Below are 19033 nucleotides of genomic sequence, written 5' to 3'. Positions count from 1 at the left end.
TGAATAATTAACATTTTCAGTGAGAAAGTAACAGAGTAACTGCTTAATATTCAGAGATTCACATTTCTGCATTCTTTACAAGAGTGCTTTCCCTAAATCAGGAAAAGGGAGTATTTCAGGCTCCAGTGCAGACCCATTTTGATAAAAATACTTCTTCCATCTCCTATATGTTTGCTTTACAAGTACAAAACTTAATAATTAGCACTTCATCTTCTGGGCTTGCCTCTCCTCAGGGGGGCATATCAAAATGAATGCTTAGTTAACTTGTATGACCTCACTTCATCTTTCAACCTGTTTCTCCATTTGTGAAATGAAGGGTTCAATCAGATGATGTAATAATATTCCGACTGGTTCTAAAACACAGTAAGTCTACAATTCTGCATGGACTTTTTTTTTTTCACCTTGATTTCTGTTCCATGGTGTACTGTTAGGTAATTATAGAGAATTGGACTACAGACATTTGGGAAAGTTTTCACATGAACAGAGATTTTTCAAGTTAGGTCAAATTCCTGTAATCAAGTGGAAAATCCAAAAGAACTAACAATTTTCATTCATTTCAGTAGTATTAGTCACCCTGAAAAATATTTGCTTAATTATACTTTAAAGTTGCATAGCAAGGAAGATAGAGAACCAAAGCATTTGGTCCACTCTTTTCCACTGCCTCAAGTCAATGTATTTATCATCCAATTTAAAGGTTTAGGGTCTGGGTCTACTGAGTGCTCTAAATGCCAACATCTGAGCAACAACCTACAATAAAATGAAGATGAAAGGTTATAAGAAATGTTCTAATTTATAGGATACACAGAAGAGAGTTGGAAATGAAGGCCATAGCATTTAAGCCTAAGCATGATATGAAAATTCCCCATTTCTGGAAGAAGGCCATCAGATTTAATTGGATGCCATGAAAGCAAACAGATGCTAATCTAGTGAAAACAACAATCATTTCTGAACTCTCTGCACTAAAATAGCTTGATTAACAAACAGAAGCTGAGAATTTTTATAGGAAGGAATATGTAATTCTTAATATAAGATGTTGTCAACAGGTGTTTAAGTATGCCTGAAGCAGGTAATAATAGAAATGAGGAGTCAGAATTACAGCAGTCTGAAAACTAGAGTTCTGGAATTTTCATTTATGTTTTCAATATAAGCTTTTTACCAATAAAATTCTGGGTGCCACTCACTATTTCTACAGAAAACTTATTACTTATACAAATAAAGCTCAAGGTATTCTAATTGTTTCAAGAAGAGGCCATCAGAAAGACATTTTCATTCATTTATTTATCAAGTTAGTGTTGCTCAGCCAAGAGGTAGGCTGAGGGAATACAGAGATAAGGAATCAGCCTGCTCACTGCTACTCTGAAAACTCCTTTGTCTCTTCCCTCTTGGTAAAATGCAAACTAGCTATGCAGAACGGGAAGGTCCATAATCCTCTTGACCTGTCTATGTGGCTGCAAGAATAATAAAAAACGCAGGTCATAAGACTTGGGGACCTGTTTGGCCAACCTCTTTATACATAGGATATATGACCGCCTTATGCACCTAGTCACAAAAAAGGTGTTAGACCATTCCACTCTAATGAGAATCAGGTCCACATGCAATGACTATGATCTTGGCCCAATATTATCTGATTTTGAACACATCACAATTTCTTTATACTTTAGAAATTCTGTCTTGAAATCAGAATCAATCAGGTAAAAAGGGCAACTCTTGGGGTTTTGGTAAGGTCAGGATCCTCCATAGGAACAAACATAAGTACACAAAATCAAGGAAACAGCATTACCATTTCTCTAAGTTCCAATAATTCTACAACAGAAAAATGGCTGACCATCTTTTAGAGATTTATAAAAGTATTGTTGTGAGCAGGCCAGAAAGTTTCAAAAGTGCCTGCCAATTATACCACCCCCTGTTTCTCCTCCTGAGAATAAAACAAACTTCAGACATCTTTTAAGGCCTTGAAAAAGCCATATGCTCTGATCAGCTAGGTCCTAACTCATGGCTTGTTTCACTAATCCATTCTGAATTTATTATCTACCAGACAGTTAAGTAGCACAATAACAATGACTAATGAATTTCATTCCAAAAATCACTTTAAAACATACTTTTCAGTCCTCAGTGAAAGAAGTGGGGGGTGGAGGAACACTGCAGCTGGACTCTGGTTACATTCCTCATGTTTTGTGGTCTGAGCCTCACAGTGAAACGCAGCAAAGATTTCAGAGTTTCCCTTTACAGTATGCAGGTGCACAAGTAATGGTTTAGACAAGGCATCAGTCCAGGCCTGTGTTTCAAACTGGCCAGACAAAGAAAAGAAATCGGTCTTTTTCTCTTCCAGCAAAACTGGCTAAATAGAGCTTTGAACTTTAACATCTCAAGTGCCAATAGCCAGATGAGATAGATAATCAGAGAGGGGAGAGGCTGAAAATTCCTAGGGCCATTACATTAATTATAATTTATCCAATGAGTCATTCAATTTCTACTTGCCATCTCCCATGAAGATCTGATTCCATCTAATGTCCTGGAAAGGTTTACATCAAAATTGAAAACAAGAGAAAGAAAAACCATGTCTAATTTGCTCTTTCAGTGATCCAGGCTAAGAATAACTGAGGCATAAGCATAATCACTAAACATATTTCTATTTATATATTTATTTATACATCCATGTTATTCCAAAAAGGATTTGAAGTACTTCACAAAAATGCATAAAACCAGCTAAAACACTTAAGAGTTCCTAAAATCTAAGACAGCATCAATTGTAAAATGCATCATTAACTTATGTAACACTAAGAAAAGTACTATCAATTATAATATGACATGCCCATTAATTATAAGATGCATCTCATTTTTATCAATATTAAAATGCCCAAAATGTATATATCAAAATCAACAAAATACAATTTGTGTTTCAGCAAAAGGAGGAAGATAGAGGAAGAATATAAAATTCATTCACCAAAATGCAATTCCTGTGGTTCCTCTGGCTGCCAAGGAAAAAAGGGATAACATAATCACCTAAAACCAGCTGGCCTTACCAGATCACTCGAGAAAATCAACCAATCAATTAATAAATCACTGCTGCTACTCACACTGGGGCATGCTACTTGAAATTGCCCACATATTAAGTTGCTACTTCACAAATTAAAGTGTGCAACTGATCTGGAGCAAGAATATTTACCATCTCAAGGAACACCCTTCCTGCAAGCTCGCAAAGTGATTTTCCTGGATAACTAATTTTAAAGTCTGATTATCATGAAAAATTTTGATAAAAATCTGGAAAGACACTTAATTTGAACATTACGGCACTAGGAGAAGGCTGGTTGGAAATATCCCAGTCTCCAGAGAACTACAAGGTGATCTTTCTTAAGTATATATCTGGTCATGGTATTCTCTTTTGCTTAAAATCATCTAGGCGTCCCTTCATCCCTTATAAGCCATGTTTTTCATCATTAAACAAACCAAATGATGTCAGCAAAAATGGTACAGTAGATATAGCCAAAGACCTATCCCTCCAGGGAAACATCTAAAAAGAAAAAATCAAGAAAAATTGTCAAAATCAACTTTGTCAAAACCCCGGAAAACAGTCAAAGGTTTATATCAATTGTCTGAACATTAAATCAAGAAAAAAGAAACTCAAAACCAGGAAGAAAGTTTTGCAGCTTTTTGACTTGCCTTGGCCCCACCCTCCTCTCCAGCTCAGCATAGGTCTTGAAGACAACAGCCTGCCCTCTCAGTATGACACCTCATTTTTTGATCAGATTCTTATTCTAAAAACAAAGTGTGTCTGTTCTAACTTGTCTGGTGGCTACCTGAAGGACTAATGCAAGTCACTTTCCCTTGTTCCTCACCTAGTCTGAACTCACTCAGAACTGAAAAGCAGCTAACAAATGTTCAAGCAGTAAGGCAAACAAACAACCCAGAGCCACCTGGGGCAAAAAAATTACAGTTCAGACATAAAACAGATTGCCTAAAGCCTGGGAAGAAAAGCTGGAGAGAGTTTCTTTGAGAAATTAGGTCATTCAAAAGTGTCCAAGTATAGTGGGGAATGTAGAAGCTACATTCATGCCCGAAACAAGATGCATGTTCAGAAAAAACCTGAAGGGCCTACACTTTCCCCTCTGGCTGACAGCTAGGCTTAGTGCAACCAGAAAGTGAAGGCTAAGGCCTTCAACTGAAATTAAAGGACCATAGATAGTAACTTGAAGCTGTATAAAGAAATAAAAATCCAGAAAAGGTAATTACATATGTAAATAAAAAAGACAGTATTATGGGCACACAATGTATAATGATGCAATTTGTGACAACAACAACATAAAGATGGGAGGGAGGAGGAGAGGTGTATAGAAACAGAGTTTTTATATGCTACTGAAGCTAACTGGTATCAGTTCAAACTAGAATGTTATAAATGTAGGGTGTTAATTAAAATCCCATCATAACCATAAAAAATCTATAAAATACACAGAAAAGGAAATGAGAAAGGAATCAAAAGGGTACACCTCAAAAAATATCAACTAAGCACAAAAGAAGGCAGTAATAAAGGAAATGAGACACAAAAAAAGCATAAGACATACAGAAAACAAATAGCAAAGTGGCATAAGTAAGTTTTTCCCTACCAGTAACTAAGTGTAAGTGGATTAAAAACTCTAATCCAAAGGCAGAGATTGGAGGAATGCATAAAAGGCATGCTCCAACTATATGCCATCTTCAAGAGACTTATTCTAGATAAAAAGGTTCAAAGTGAAAAGATGGGAAAGACAGTCCATGCAAATAGTAACCAAAGGAGAGCTGGGGTGGTCATACTAATATCAGATAAAACAGTCTTTTGGTCAAAAGTTGTTATAAGAGGCAAAAATATACCAATAAAAGGGTCAATTCATCAGGCAGACATAACAAGAAATATGTGCACAAAACAACAGAGGTCTAAAATATATGAAGCAAATGTTGACAGAATTGAAAGGAGAAATATACAGTTTTACACTAATAGTTGAAGAATTCAATACTCTATTCCCAGTCATAAATGGAACATTTAGACAGAAGATCAATAAGGAAATCGAGGACTTGAGAACATCATAAACCAACTAGATCTAACAGACATAAATAGCATCTAATGACAGCAGAATACACATTTTTCTCAAGTGCATGTAGAATGTTCTCCAGGATAGACAATACATTAGGCCACAAAACAAGTCTTCATAATTTAAAAAATATTACAATCATAAAACTATCATCTCTGCTTCTCTGTCACAATGGAATAAAACGAGAACTCAATAATGAAAGGAAAACTAGAAAATTCACAAATATGTGAAAATTAATGCTCTTTTTTTTTTTGAGACAGGGTCTTGCTCTGTCACCCAGGCTGGAATGCAGTGCTGCAATCTTGGCTCACTGCAGCCTTCGCCTCCTGGGCTTAATCAATTATCCCACCTCAGCTTCTTGAGTAGCTGGGACTATAGGTGCACACCACCACGCTCAGCTAATTTTTGTATTTTTTGTAAAGACAGTGTCTCGCCATGTTGTCTAGGCTGGTCTCAAACTCCTGGCCTCAAAGTATCTGCCTGCCTTGGCCTCCCAGAGTGCTGGGATTACAGGCATGAGCCACTAGGCCCAGCCAAAGAATGCTCTCATAAACAACCAGTGGTCAATAAAGAAATCACAGGGAAATTAGAAAATACTTTGACTTTAATTTAAAAAAACATAACATACAAAAATGAATGGGGTATGGAAACTATTTTATAGGTGTAAACACTGACATTATAAAAGAAAGATCTCATTAACCTAAGTTGCCATCTTTAAGAAACTAGAGAAAAAAGAAAATAAAACACAAAGCTAGCAGAATGAAGGAGATAATAAAGATAAGAGCAGAGATACACAAAATGGAGAGCAAAAAAACACTAGAGAGAATCAACAAAACCACAAGTCTTTTCTTTGAAAAGAAATTGACAAATCTTTAACTAGAATGACTATGAAAAAGAAGAAAGAAAATGCAGTAAAATGAGAAATGAAAGTGGGGACATTACTACAAACCTTACAGAAATGAAAAGGATTATAAGAAAACACCATGAGGAGGGTGAAGCAAGATGGCTGAATAGATGCTTTCACCGATTGTTCCCCTGCTAACCTTGCAGGAACACCAATTTAACAACCATCTACACACACAAAAAAGCACCTACATAAGAACCAAAAATCAGGTAAGCAATCACAGTACCTGGTTTTAACTTCATATAGCTGAAAAAGGCATTGAAGACGGTAGGAAAGACAGACTTGAATTGCTGACGCCGCCCCTTCCCCACTCCTTCAGCAGCGGCCATGAGATACAGAGCATCTGTGCTCTTGAGGGAGGGAGAGCACAGCGATTGTGGTACTTTGCATTCAACTCAGTGCTGCTCTGTCACAGTGGGAAACAAAACTGGACTAAACTCAGCCAATGCCCATCCATGGAGGCAGCATTTAGATCAGCCCTAGTCAGAGGGGAATCGCCCATCCCAGTGGTTAGAACTTGAGTTTTGGCAAAACTTTCTACCACGGAAAAGGTGCTCTGGGGTTCTAAATAATCTTGAAAGACAGTCTAGGCTGTGAAGACTGCAATTCCTAGGTAAGTCCTAGTGCTAGTGCTGGCCTTAGAGGCAATGGACATGGGACACTAGCCGGGGTGGCTAAGGAAGTTCTTGTGACACCCCTTCACCAACCTTAGGCAGCGCAGCCTGCAGCAAAAAAAAAAAAAAAAAAAAAAAAGACTCCTTCTTTCTGCTTGTTGGGAGAAGGGAGACTTTGTCTTGCATCTTGGATACCAGCTTAGCCACAATAGGATAGGGCACTGGGCAATCATGAGGCCCCCATTCCAGGCCCTAGCTCCCAGATGACATATCTAGACCCACGCTGGGCCAGAAGGGAATGTGTTGCCTTAAAAGGAAGGACCAAGTCCTGGCAGGATTCATCACCTGTGACCAAAAAGCCCTTGGGCCCTGAAGAACCAGGAGTAATAGCTAGACAGTAAGCTGTGGGCCTTGGGTGAGACTCTGAGATGTGCTGTTTTCAGGTACCAGCTTGGCCACAGTGGAGTAGAGCACCAAATGGGCTTTTGGGGTCCCTGATTCCAGGCCTTGGCTCTTGGATGGCATTTCTGGACGTGTCCTGGTCCAGAGGGGAACCCTCTGCCCTGAAGTGTGACTCCCAGGTGTGGCAGCATTCGCCACAAGCTAACTGAAGAGCCCTTGAGCCTTAAGTGAACATCAGTGATAGCCTGACAGTACCCACCGTGGGTCTAGGTGATGGTGGCCAAGTGAAGAGAAACCTCTGCGTATAATAAGGAGAGGGAAAAGTGGGAAGGACTTTGTCTTAGAGTTTAAGCACCAGCTTAGCCGCAATAGAATAGAGAACCAGATAGATTTCTAAGGTTTTGGACTCCAGTCTTTGCCTCCTAAACAGCATCTCTGGACCTGCTCAGGGGCCGGGGGAAACTTGCTGCCCTGAAGGGAAGGACACAATCCTGGCTGGCTTCACCACCTGCTAATTGTAGAGCCACAGGGTCTTGAGCAAACATAGGTGGTAGCCAGGTAGAGGTTACACAGGGCCTAGGATAAGACCCAGTCCTATGCTGGCATCAGGTCTGAACCAGGGAAATCCCAGTGGTGGAGGCCACGAGGGTGATTGTGTCTCCCTACTCCCAGCTCCAGATGGCTCAGCATAGAGAGAGAGACTGAGAAAAAGTAATGGTAGAGAACAGGAATCTCTGCCTGGTAATCCAGAGAACCCTTCTGGATCTTATCCAAGACCACCAAGTGGTACCTCTACAAGACTGCAAGAACCACAGTGTTACTGAGCTTAGTGTTCCCCCTAATGCAGATACAGCTTAGATCACAACATCCAAGTCCTTTCAAAAACCTGGAAAGCCTTCCCAAGAAAGACAGGTATAAACAAGCCCACACTGTGGAGACTATAGTAAATACCTAAACTCTTCAATGCCCAGACACTGGCAAACATCCACAAGCATCAAGGCCATCAAGGAAAACATGACCTCCCCAAATTAACTAAATAAGGCATCAGGGACCAATTCTGGAGAAACAGAGGTATGTGATCTTTCGGACAGAGAATTCAAAATAGCCGTTTTGTGGAAACACAAAGAAATTCAAGATAATACAGAGAAGGAATTCAGACTTCTATCAGATAAATTTAACAAAGAGATTGAAATAATTAAAAAGAATCAAGTGGATATTCTAGAGGTGAAAAATGCAACTGAAATACTGAAGAATGCATCAAAGTCTCTTAATAGCAGAATTGATCAAGAAGAAGATAGAATTAGTGGTCTTGAAGACAGGCTATTTGAAAATGCTCAGTCAGAGGAGACAAAAGAAAAAAGAATAAAAAAGAATGAAGCATGCCTACAGAACTAGAAAATAGCCTCAAAGGGCAAACCTAAGAGTTACTGGCCTTAAAGAGGAGGTCGAGAAAGAGATAGGAGTAGAAAGGAATAATAACAGAGAACTTCCCAAACCTAGGAAAAAATATCAATATTCAAGTACAAGAAGGTTACAGAACACCACACAGATTTAACTCAAAGAAGACTACCTTAAAGCATTTAACAATCAAACTCCCAAAGGTCAAGTATAAAGAGAAGATCCTAAAAGCAGCAGGAGAAAAGAAACAAGGATAAATATAAATAAAGCAATGGCAAAGAATGCTATAAAATCACACAATGGCCTGTAATCCCAGTACTCTGGAAGGCCAAGGTGGGTGGATCATGAGGTCAAGAGATTGAGACCATCCTGGCCAACATGGTGAAACCTCGTCTCTACTAAAAATACAAAAATTAGCTGGGCGTGCTGGTGCGTGCCTGTATTCCCAGCTACTCGGGAGGCTGAGGCAGGAGAATTGTTGAACCCAGGAGGTGGAGGTTGCAGTGAGCCGAGATTGCGCCACTGCCCTCCAGCCTGGCAACAGAGCAAGACTCCATCTCAAAAAAACAAACAACAACAACAAAAAAAACACAGTGGAACCAAATAATTGGATTACATTAGCAATCAAATGATTTTTCACAATAAAGCTCTATCTTTTTTTTTTTTAAAGAAACAAGTAACATACAATGGAGCTCCCATTCATCTGGCAGCAGACTTTACAGTGGAAGACTAACAGGACAGGAGAGAGTGATGTTACATATTTAAAGTGCTGAAGGCAAAAAAAAAGAAAAGTACAATATGCATGTTTATTAGTCTGAATATAAATTAGTACCTTTACCATTTTCCAGACAATGCTAAGATCTCTGAGCACTTTAACCCCACTCAACCCTTTTTACTTTTTGTGTTAGAACCATGCATTATAAACCTACATATATTATTATGTATATGCATGTTATATTTAAGAAGACATTAGTATTTATTTATAGTCAAAATGAATTTAGAAATACATCTTTATCCTTTCTCTTATTCTTTGTTCCTTTCTCTTATTCTTTGTTCTGTACTGTATTTCCATGTTTCTTTTTGAAATTATTTTTATTCTTCCTTTAGTATTTCCTTTACTGCAGGTCTGCTGCGATATATTTTCTCAGTTTTGATGGTCTGAAATATCTTTATTTTGCCTGTACTTTTGAATAATATTTTCACTGGGTATAGAATTCTAAGTGGACAGTTCTGTTTTTTCCATATTTTAAAATGTCACTGCATCACCATCTGGCTTCCATTGTTCCATTGAGAAATCAGCTTTCAGTCTTACTATCAATCTTTTCATGCTATCATGTCTTTCTCTCTAGTTGCTTTTAGTATTTTCACTTTCTCTTTGATATTCAGCTGTTTAATTTCCCCAGGTATGTTTTCTTTATTGTCATTCTGTTTTGTTAGTGCTTCTTGAATTTGTAATTTCATGTCTTTTGTTAAATTTGAAAATTCTTAGTCATTATCTCTTAAAATTTTGTGTTTACCTCACAATCTTTCCAGCCTCTCTGTGCCTGAAATTATATGTATATTAGACACTTGTATTTTCTGCTGACCTATCTTCCAATTCACTAATCTACTTTTCAGCTATGTTCAATCTGCCATTATATCTTTTCCTAGTTAGATCTCTGACAAATCTTTTAACATTTTACTTGTTGAGTGGCAGGCAAGAGGTACTAGGTGAATATTTGTAGATCATATGACACTTATCCTCACAAAAGTAAGAAGAAAGTAAATGAAACTTAAGTAAATTTTTGCCACCATTAGCAATTCTTGGAAGCCCAGGGGTTGAGTCATTAAAATTTATATGAATAACTAGTTTCACATAATAACTACATTTGATTTAAATGAATGAGGCACTCTACAAAGGTTATATAAAAGTTGTCATAATTTAGATTACATTTTATGTATTTTGTTATACCCCATGTTTTATACTGGCTTGATGTTAAAATCATTTTTTTAAAAAAAAGACACTTACTCTCTCTCCTTTTCCGTCAGTTTGTCATTGATATTGTCTTTGATTGTTGATCTAGACCCCTTATGAATTATAGGATATCTGAGGGGCACTTGTAGGAAAAAGGAAATCATGGAGACCAGATGTGCAGTATAACCAAGGGCAACAGCAATGCTTCCATCATCTTTTGCTGTAAATTCAAAAGCAGAGGAAAAGAAAATAACTATTTACCTTATAAATAACCATAAGATAATAAATAATTTTCAAAGAATATTTTATAAAAATATGTGGTACATAAAATATTAACCACTTATCTAAATTATATAAATTTTATGCAAATGTAAACACATTAACAAGACTTGAAACTTCATCTACTAACTGTATTTTAAACTATTTCCCAATAATTAATGTGATGAGATTAACATTTGATATATACCTTAAAGCAAGAACTCTTACTATGTCCAAATAACCATTGCTTTCTTTCCCAGCATTTTTACAGGATGAATTAATACTTGAGTCTATTACATGATATGAAAATTAGCTTCAGAGGTTTAAACTTAACACACTATACAGTGGTTATACATTTTATTCATTAAGAATTTCCTAGACAATATAGTTGTACTATTTTACAACATTATTAATTCTAAAGGGAAATGAAATAGTATAATCATTCTTATGGGGTATGTTCTTGATATTGAAAAAGACAGGGTTACATAATAAGTCTATGAAGTTAAATATGGGTTAAGGGGGAAAATGCTTTAAACAGCAAAAGCAAAAGGTGAAAAACCACACTGTTCATATACCACCCTATTTATGTAATATAGGTGGAAGCAACTACTAGGAAAAAATGCAGGTATCTTATAATCAGACATAAGCATCTAGCTTTCAAAAAGCCACAGACAATTACATTTTCTAAACTTATCCAGATTTCTGCCACTATCTATCAAGTGATAAATGATGATTCAGGGGCTAAGGGAGTAATACAACAGAAAGTTTTAAACTTCCCCCAAGAGGAAGGAAACAGGATCTTCTTGGTATACAGTATTCCTAAATGCTTTTAAAAGTGCACAAGTGCACGTGTGTGCACTCATACACTAAAACATTTAACACATAATCTGGAATATCCCATCTGGCTAGAGAAGAAGGGCTGAAATGATCACAATGACCATGCCTTGACTATTCCCTGACTTCTAAGGGTGGCTTTAACCTCAATTACCAATAAAAATTTTCGCATTCTTCTTTCTGTTTCCACTTAATTACGTAAGCACTACCTTCTTATGGTAGAAGTGCCACTACAGAGATCCATTCCTCAGTGAATTCTCTACCCTTAACTACCATAGCAGACTATTTGTTTTTCTTTGGTAGTCTTATAAAAATAGGTAACTATTTATATATTTTTTTATATATATACTTTTTTCTGTCCAGAACTGTCTATAGTACTTTATATATGACATTCATTCATTCACTAACAATGTTAAACACCTTTTAAATGCTATTGCATTCCTTTTACAGATAAACAAACTAAGGCTCAGAGATTAAGGAATCCTTCCAAAGTAATACAGCTAGTAAACAGGTTGGCTTGACACCCAATCTTCCACGATTAACCAGTCTACTGTACTGTCTCATAAATTTATTGTTAAACATTAATATAACAATTATTTTTTAAAAAAAGATGAGGTCTCACTATGTTGCCCAGGCCGACCTCAAACTCCTGGGCTCGAGCAATCCTCATGCCTCAGCCTCCCAAGTAACTGGGACTACAGGTTTGTGCCACTGTGCCCAGCATATAACAATTTTTTAACTTGGGAGCCTCGAATGTACCAAGCATATGACACACGTGTACCACCTTAGTTTCTTCACAGTTTTCTAGTAAGAGCAAAGAGCACATAAAAAGTCTGAGAGTCCTCGATGACTTGCATAGTACTCAACAGAAAATGGGCTTCTCAAGGAATGTCTGTTCTCTAAAACAAACCCATGGAAAAAAATCAAACAGCAGTAATTTTCAACCAACTACTGAGTCATGCTCTAACTAACTAGAATCCTAATTATTTTTAGAGACCGTGTCCTCTTGCCCCAGTCCCACCCAAGTACCTTGAATACTACTACAACACTTTCCTTCTGCTGAAACCCGTACATCAGACTACCTTAGGGACTAAAAGTACTTTACATTATAAATTTGTTACATTATAAATTCATTATCATACAATAATAGAACTAAGAGAAACTTTCACAATCACTGACTCTGATGCTACCAACTTGGAGAAGAGAGAAATGAGACCCAGGTGGTATAAATGGCTTGGTCAAAGCCACATAGGTAGAAACTATGAGTGATGAAGTAACTGAAAGAATTGTGTCCACAATCCTCCAGAATACCTATACAGGTGTGGAGTCACAGCTGTAACTGTGAGTTTCTTCACAGGTGACTGAATTCTGCCTCGTGCTTTCCGTAAAGATTAGGTCTTATCAAATTTAAAATATTCCTGTCAGTAAAAGGACTTGATCTTCAATAACCACCTTTTGAAGAGAGAGGGGAAGAGGAAGAAGATGAGGACTTAAAGACAGATAATACTATGCTAAGTTGCAACTTCCCTCTATGTGCTTTATACAAAGCTTTTCCTTTCCTATATGACCTGACAGAAGAGGATTTGAAAACTTCCAGAAAGGAGCAGGCCTCTTAAATTAGCCTTTCAAGCAAGTCAAATGCAAACAATGAATGTTTCAAAACTATCTATCTAATGCTAAACATTCAAGCATCTACATTTTCCCCATATTATGAAAGGAGGACTGCTAAAGAATTATATTTGTATATTTTGAGACTACATCCACATCTCTATTAAAATAACCAAAAGTTGATTTTCTAACATCACTTCCCACCAATGAACAAAACAACTTTGTTTAAAGATAAAAAGGCATCTCTAAGAGAAGTCTACACACAGAAATAAAACAAAAAGAAATAGCACACACTGAAAATTGAATAATATTGGAAATCAGCTTTGATTCAGGTTATTCACACTCACCATTCTTGCCACAAGTCTTCCCACTCCACCTATTAAAAATTCTAGGTTTCCCATTCCAGGCCATAGTGCTCCATCACAGACTCAGTGTTAAACACTGTGGTGTTAGATTTCCAATATTGAACCTTTATATTAAAAAGCATTTTAAAAGGACCATGGGTGAAGCATTACAGGGCCCAAGGGTATTTCAATACCCTCAAAAGGAAAACCACCTCCTGGTAGGGAAGTCACTTTCATCACCCCAAGACCACTGAATCTCCAGTGGGAAAATGTGAGCTCATGTGGTTAATTATGGCTATTGCAGGCCATGCAACCTCAGATGTCACATTCTGTTGCCAATCACTTTAGCTAAAAAACCAAAAGGTTTAAGGTTTCCAGCATTGCAAGATCTGAAAGATTTTTTTACCTGCCACAGCCAAAACCCAGCTCTCTGGGGTGTGCTTTTCCAGTAAGCATTAATGACGTCCCTAACACCTAAGGCAGAGCAGAAGTTTGTGTACCTTATGCTGTTCTGGGGGTTAGAAAGGTCACAGACAATAGTTTTGTTAGTGAGAAGTTGGAGCAGGAGTGGACGGTCCAGGGAGAAACACGAATGAACCTTAAGACTCAGGTATGTGAAAAAGATGCTAATTCCAACAAACTTTTAAGGGGCTTGAAAATAAAATTAAAACCCAGTTTCCTCATAATAAATATTCCTGGTTTATTTTTAAAATGTAGGTAACCACTCAAGGCTGTAGCTTTTGTATAATTTTTATGACAACAAATTCCACAAACACGCAATGGCCATAACATTATAAATGCATTCAAATGTTCCTTTGATTTATATGTTGGACAAACTATTAATATTCAAACGCATCCAAGTACAATAAGTGATCTAAAAGCTCTTACCATCCTGCCTTCCCAATCACTGAGGCAGCTGATTTGTTAAGGAACCAAGCACCCACTGATCCAGACAGGACAAAATATTTAAGACTCTAATCACTGCCACAGCATCTATGGAATCATTCCATGTTCTCAATGAGACATTGTTTGACATATGGACTCTCCTTTCCAAGAAATCATGCCTGCATAAAGGGATACAGACACAGAAGGAAATCTGGGTCTCATTACCACAAAAGGCTCTCGTGTTATGGATTACTTAAACACACACACACACACACACACACACACACACACACACACACACACACACAAACATTTTTTTTTTAAGCTAAATGTCTCGGTCAGTGGAACTCAGATGAACACCCTTCACTGGACATTTTTCTCCCACTGTGTCCAGGTCTCCTTGGCATACTGCAACAGTAACTTACCCACTTAGAAAAGCACACTAATGTTGGAGCACTACGGTGGAGTTTCTCAAACAGTATCACCCCATGCAGCATAAAGTCTATCCCAGCAAAGTCTCATGAATATCACAGAATAACCAGCTTGGAGTTCCTTCACTAGAGTCTCTCCCAGAAAGCAGCTGCTATAGAATACTAAAAAGTTGTCACAGGTTTAAAGAGGTTATTATTCAAAGCGAGGAAGAAAACTGAATTGTGGCAAGAATTATACGAATCTTAGAATCAGGCAGACCAGGAATAACCTTAGGTTTATCACTGTTTAATATGACTCCTTGAAAAAATTAACTAATCTCTCTGAGCTTCAATTTTCTTTTTCTTTTTTTTTTTCCTTTTTTAAATTGAGGGTAATTCCTTTCCTTACAGATGGAATTAATTCTCACAGTTGTGAGAATTAGGGTAAATGTGAGAACATCATGATGTTCCATGTTATCATATTTATTTCCCTTTCTTATTTTCTATTTTGAAATGGGTTCTCACTCTGTCACCTAGACTGGAGTACAGTGGCAAAATCATAGCTCACTACAGCCTCAAACTCCTGGTCACAAGCAATCCTCCCACCTCAGTCCCCCAAAGTGCTAGGATTACAGGCATGAGCCACCATGCCCAGCCTATGTTACTATATTTCTACTCACCCAGCCTAAAATGTCTTCTTACTCTTTTTTCTACTGGAAAACATCATTTTATTTCTTAAGACACTGAAATCATCTTCTCTATAAAAGTTTTCCTGATCGCTCCTGATAGAAGTGATTATTCTCACTTTTTTGAGTACCATGTACCTGCTATAAACTTCTAAGTGCCTGACACAGAGTATGAATTCAATAAATACTTACTGACTGTCTTGATTACAAATCTGATATCCTCAACTGGACTATAATCTCACTGAGGCAGGATCAATGTCTTAACCATCTCTTACACCCTCAACACCTGGCACCATGGATGACATACACAGAACACTCAATACATTTAGTAAATGCAAGTGCCTGCAGGATATTAACATAAGATTTTATTTGTTTGTTTTTGTTTTTAGACAGAGTCTCACTCTGTCACTCAGGCTGGAGTGCAGTGGTGCAATCTCAGCCCACTGCAACCTTTGCCTCTGGGTTCAAGTGATTCTCGTGCCTCAGCCTCCCAAGTAGCTGAGATTACAGGTGTGTGCCACCACACCCAGCTAATTTTTTGTATTTTTAGTAGAAACAGTGTTTCACCATATCGGTCAGGCTGGTCTCAAACTCTTGACCTCAAATGATCTGCACACTTCAGCCTCCCAAAGTGCTGGAATTACAGGCGTGAGCCACCGCACCCGGCCAATGTAAGATTTTTAAAGTCCAATATTACTGCATGTGCTTCTTAAAATTTCTGATTCCTAAGGGTAATGGGGAATGGGAATGAATATGACCTTAGAGTAAAATTAAACATTTATTTCATTTTATCTCACATTTTGTTTTTCAACAACTGCACTAAAAAGCTACACTAATTTATTAAAGGGTAGGGAGACTGTATTCAGCTTGTTGGGCATTGTAAGTGTAGATAACTACAAAAGCTATGAAAAACTAGGAGACAAGGAATTTCAAAGAAAACAAAATAGAATCAAGACACATCTCAGAGTAATCAGACCACCACTCCTGATATTCCTACTTCTCTGACTGCCCCCTTCAAATCATTCTGTATTTAGCAGCCAGAGTGACTTTTAAAAGCCTAACTCAGCTCATGCCATCCTGCTTCTTGAAGTCCCTCAGGCATTTCCTACTTCCTCGAGAATAAAATATCAACTCCTTATAGTGACCTCAAGGCCCTGGCTGCCCTCTCCTACCTCTTCTAACGTAGCTCTTCCCTCGCTCACTATGCTCCAGCTGCACACGTCTGGTCTTTACTGTCCTTCCTGCCTCTCTCTTTTGCAACAAATTCCAATTATATTTATTGAGTACCTCCTATATGAAAAGCTTTTTCAAATGTGATTTCATTCAATCATCACAAGAAATTACAGATATAGATATCTTATAAGAAATTAAGCTGAAAGATTACATGATTTACCCAAAATACAAGTCTTTTCTCACATTCCCCAAACGCTGAGTTTTTTGAGAGATGCCAAGCCCATTCCTCCTTCATCATCACCTTTGTACTTGGTGACCCTTCTCCTAGAAATGCTCTTCCCCCAGCTGTAGCATAGTTGGCTCCTTTTAGCCCTCAATTTTATATTTCTCCTTAGAGAGGTCTTCTCTGACTGCTTTATCTAAAGCAGTTTCTTCCATTCTCTGGGATAGCATATTCCTTTATTAAATACTTGCTAGTTACTTAGTTTCTTGTTTATTGGCTGTCTCCCCCAATAAGCTCCATGGAAGGAGAGAACATGTTTACTTTCTGCATCATGTGCCTGGCATTTAGGTGTTCAATGAACATTTTTTTCAATGAATAATGTTCTGTATCCCAGGAAACTGGTACGGGACAAAAGTACTCAATATGTTTACTAAATGAATCAATGAGGAAAATGATGCGCCATGGGCTTCAAGATACCACAACTTTGCCTAAAATTAATATCAAAACACATTTTTGTGAATGTCTTACAGATATCTGAGGGAGCACTATGAAATGGAAACCAGACAAATCCTAGCTATATTATTACCTAGTTTTGTGGCCTCAAGCAAGTCACTGAATACCATTTTCCTTATAGGATCCCTTTGTTTTTGTGAGTATTAAAGATTAGGCAAAATCTTATGCATTTATAGCTACTGGTATACCTCACTTATTTTCCACAACAATCATATAAGACAGGTAGGGCATAAATTAATAGTTCATTCAATCAATTAGGAAATCAACTCAAAGGTTACATTACTTGTTCCAAATTACATGGTTTATACAGGGGCAATCAGGACTTGAACACAGGTTTTCCAACTCCTGGTTTATCACTCTCCTTTTATCACGTCCAAAGTACTTACAGGTAAGGGCCCAACAGGGTAACAAAACACTCTTAGATGTTAAATGATCACCAATAACAACAGCTTCTTTATAAGAAAATGAAAGTCCTGATCAAAACTAGCAATGCTCTCTTCTTTAGTAACTTCTCAAGTAGATAAAACGCTGGCTTGGGAATAATCTATAAAGATATTTAGTAGGCCTCAAAGCATTGTTTAGGCTAAGGGAAAAGAACCCACTTGGCTAACAATAAAAATGATCACTGATATGCCAAAGAAAATAAATTCTTTGGAATATTTGCAGAGTAGGAAAAACAAAAGATTTTAAAATATAGAAATTACTAAGGATCATATTCTATAATACCTTTAATGTAATTTCTTTCTTTATTTTTAGTTAAAAGATAACAGAAATGATAGTATAACAAATTAAGCCTGTGGTAATGGAAACTTCACAAAATTAAATTTTCAAATACTTTTCAGGTCAGCAGTAATATGACTTTCTAAATAATAACAGAACAGATTTTGTTTGCTGTTCCTCTGCTCCCAACCATACACAAATTTTTCATAAAAATCAAACCAAAAGGAAGGGCGATTATTTGTATTCTTAAGAACCTGACTGTCTAATTTGCTTAAAGCCCATTTAAAAACTATTTTCTTTTAAATTTCTAATATAAGGTTCAGTAATTATTTTTCTATGATCAGACCTAACATTCTATCTCCCATCAAGGAGTCTGATATACATACTTGCAATTGGGAAAGGACAGAAAGTCCAAAAATTCCTTTGGATAAAGTGCTAGGCAACCAGCATTTCAAGATATTCTATTTCCATATATTAATATATAACAAATCTTCAAAATAAAAAATAAAATACCTTGGAAGTCCTCAGAATTAGGCAACTTGACACCGCATACAAAGTAATCCTTATGTTCATTCTGTGAATTTAATTAAAGAATAAAATTAATAAATAAAGCAAAGAAACTCTAAGTTAAATCTCAGATCAGCAGGTCGGTGCTGACTCAAAACACTGTTCTAAACTCCAAGTATTATCATAATTGTTGAAGCTGGATGATGAGTACATGGTGATTCATTCTACTCTCTCCCTACATTTACATATACTTGAAATTTTCTATAATAACATTTAAGACATCATGTCCAAGGAAAAAGCCATGTAAAATTATCATCATAAAAATATCCTTATTTCATTCACATATATAAATGGTTTAATAAGATTCTATAAGCAAACTCAAATCCTATTAGCTTTCTTCTCTGAAAATTAGTCTTTTAAACAAATTTTCATTAAAAAGAAAACTATCAAATTTAGCAGATTTAGTTCTCTGAAAAATAATCCTAATCAATTTTATTGAAGTTTTCCTTTTTTCATTCATTCTAAGAAACTAGGCTC

General features: G+C 36.9%; 1 protein-coding gene across 10 annotated transcripts in view; it reads right to left on the bottom strand.

Moving 5' to 3' along the window:
- UVRAG (UV radiation resistance associated) overlaps nucleotides 1-19033 on the bottom strand; it is a 329023-nt gene that overhangs the window by 116863 nt on the left and 193127 nt on the right. For 9 of the 10 annotated variants that reach the window (NR_170161.1, NM_001386671.1, NM_003369.4 and 6 more), the window contains 2 exons: nucleotides 18503-18563; nucleotides 10390-10555 (listed from right to left, as the gene is read on the bottom strand). Coding sequence is in view for 8 of the 10 variants with exons in the window: in NM_001386671.1 (NP_001373600.1) it covers nucleotides 10390-10555; nucleotides 18503-18563 (227 nt within the window). In the remaining 2 variants the exon portion in view is untranslated. Of the gene's footprint in view, nucleotides 1-10389; nucleotides 10556-14267; nucleotides 14444-18502; nucleotides 18564-19033 lie in introns of all 10 variants that reach the window. The other variant, NR_170160.1, reaches the window with a different exon arrangement.

Source organism: Homo sapiens, chromosome 11, assembly GCF_000001405.40.
Source record: "Homo sapiens chromosome 11, GRCh38.p14 Primary Assembly".
Lineage (NCBI taxonomy): Eukaryota > Metazoa > Chordata > Mammalia > Primates > Hominidae > Homo > Homo sapiens.
The sequence above is the reverse complement of the archived record's forward strand: the minus strand, read 5'-3'. Positions and strand labels throughout refer to the sequence as shown.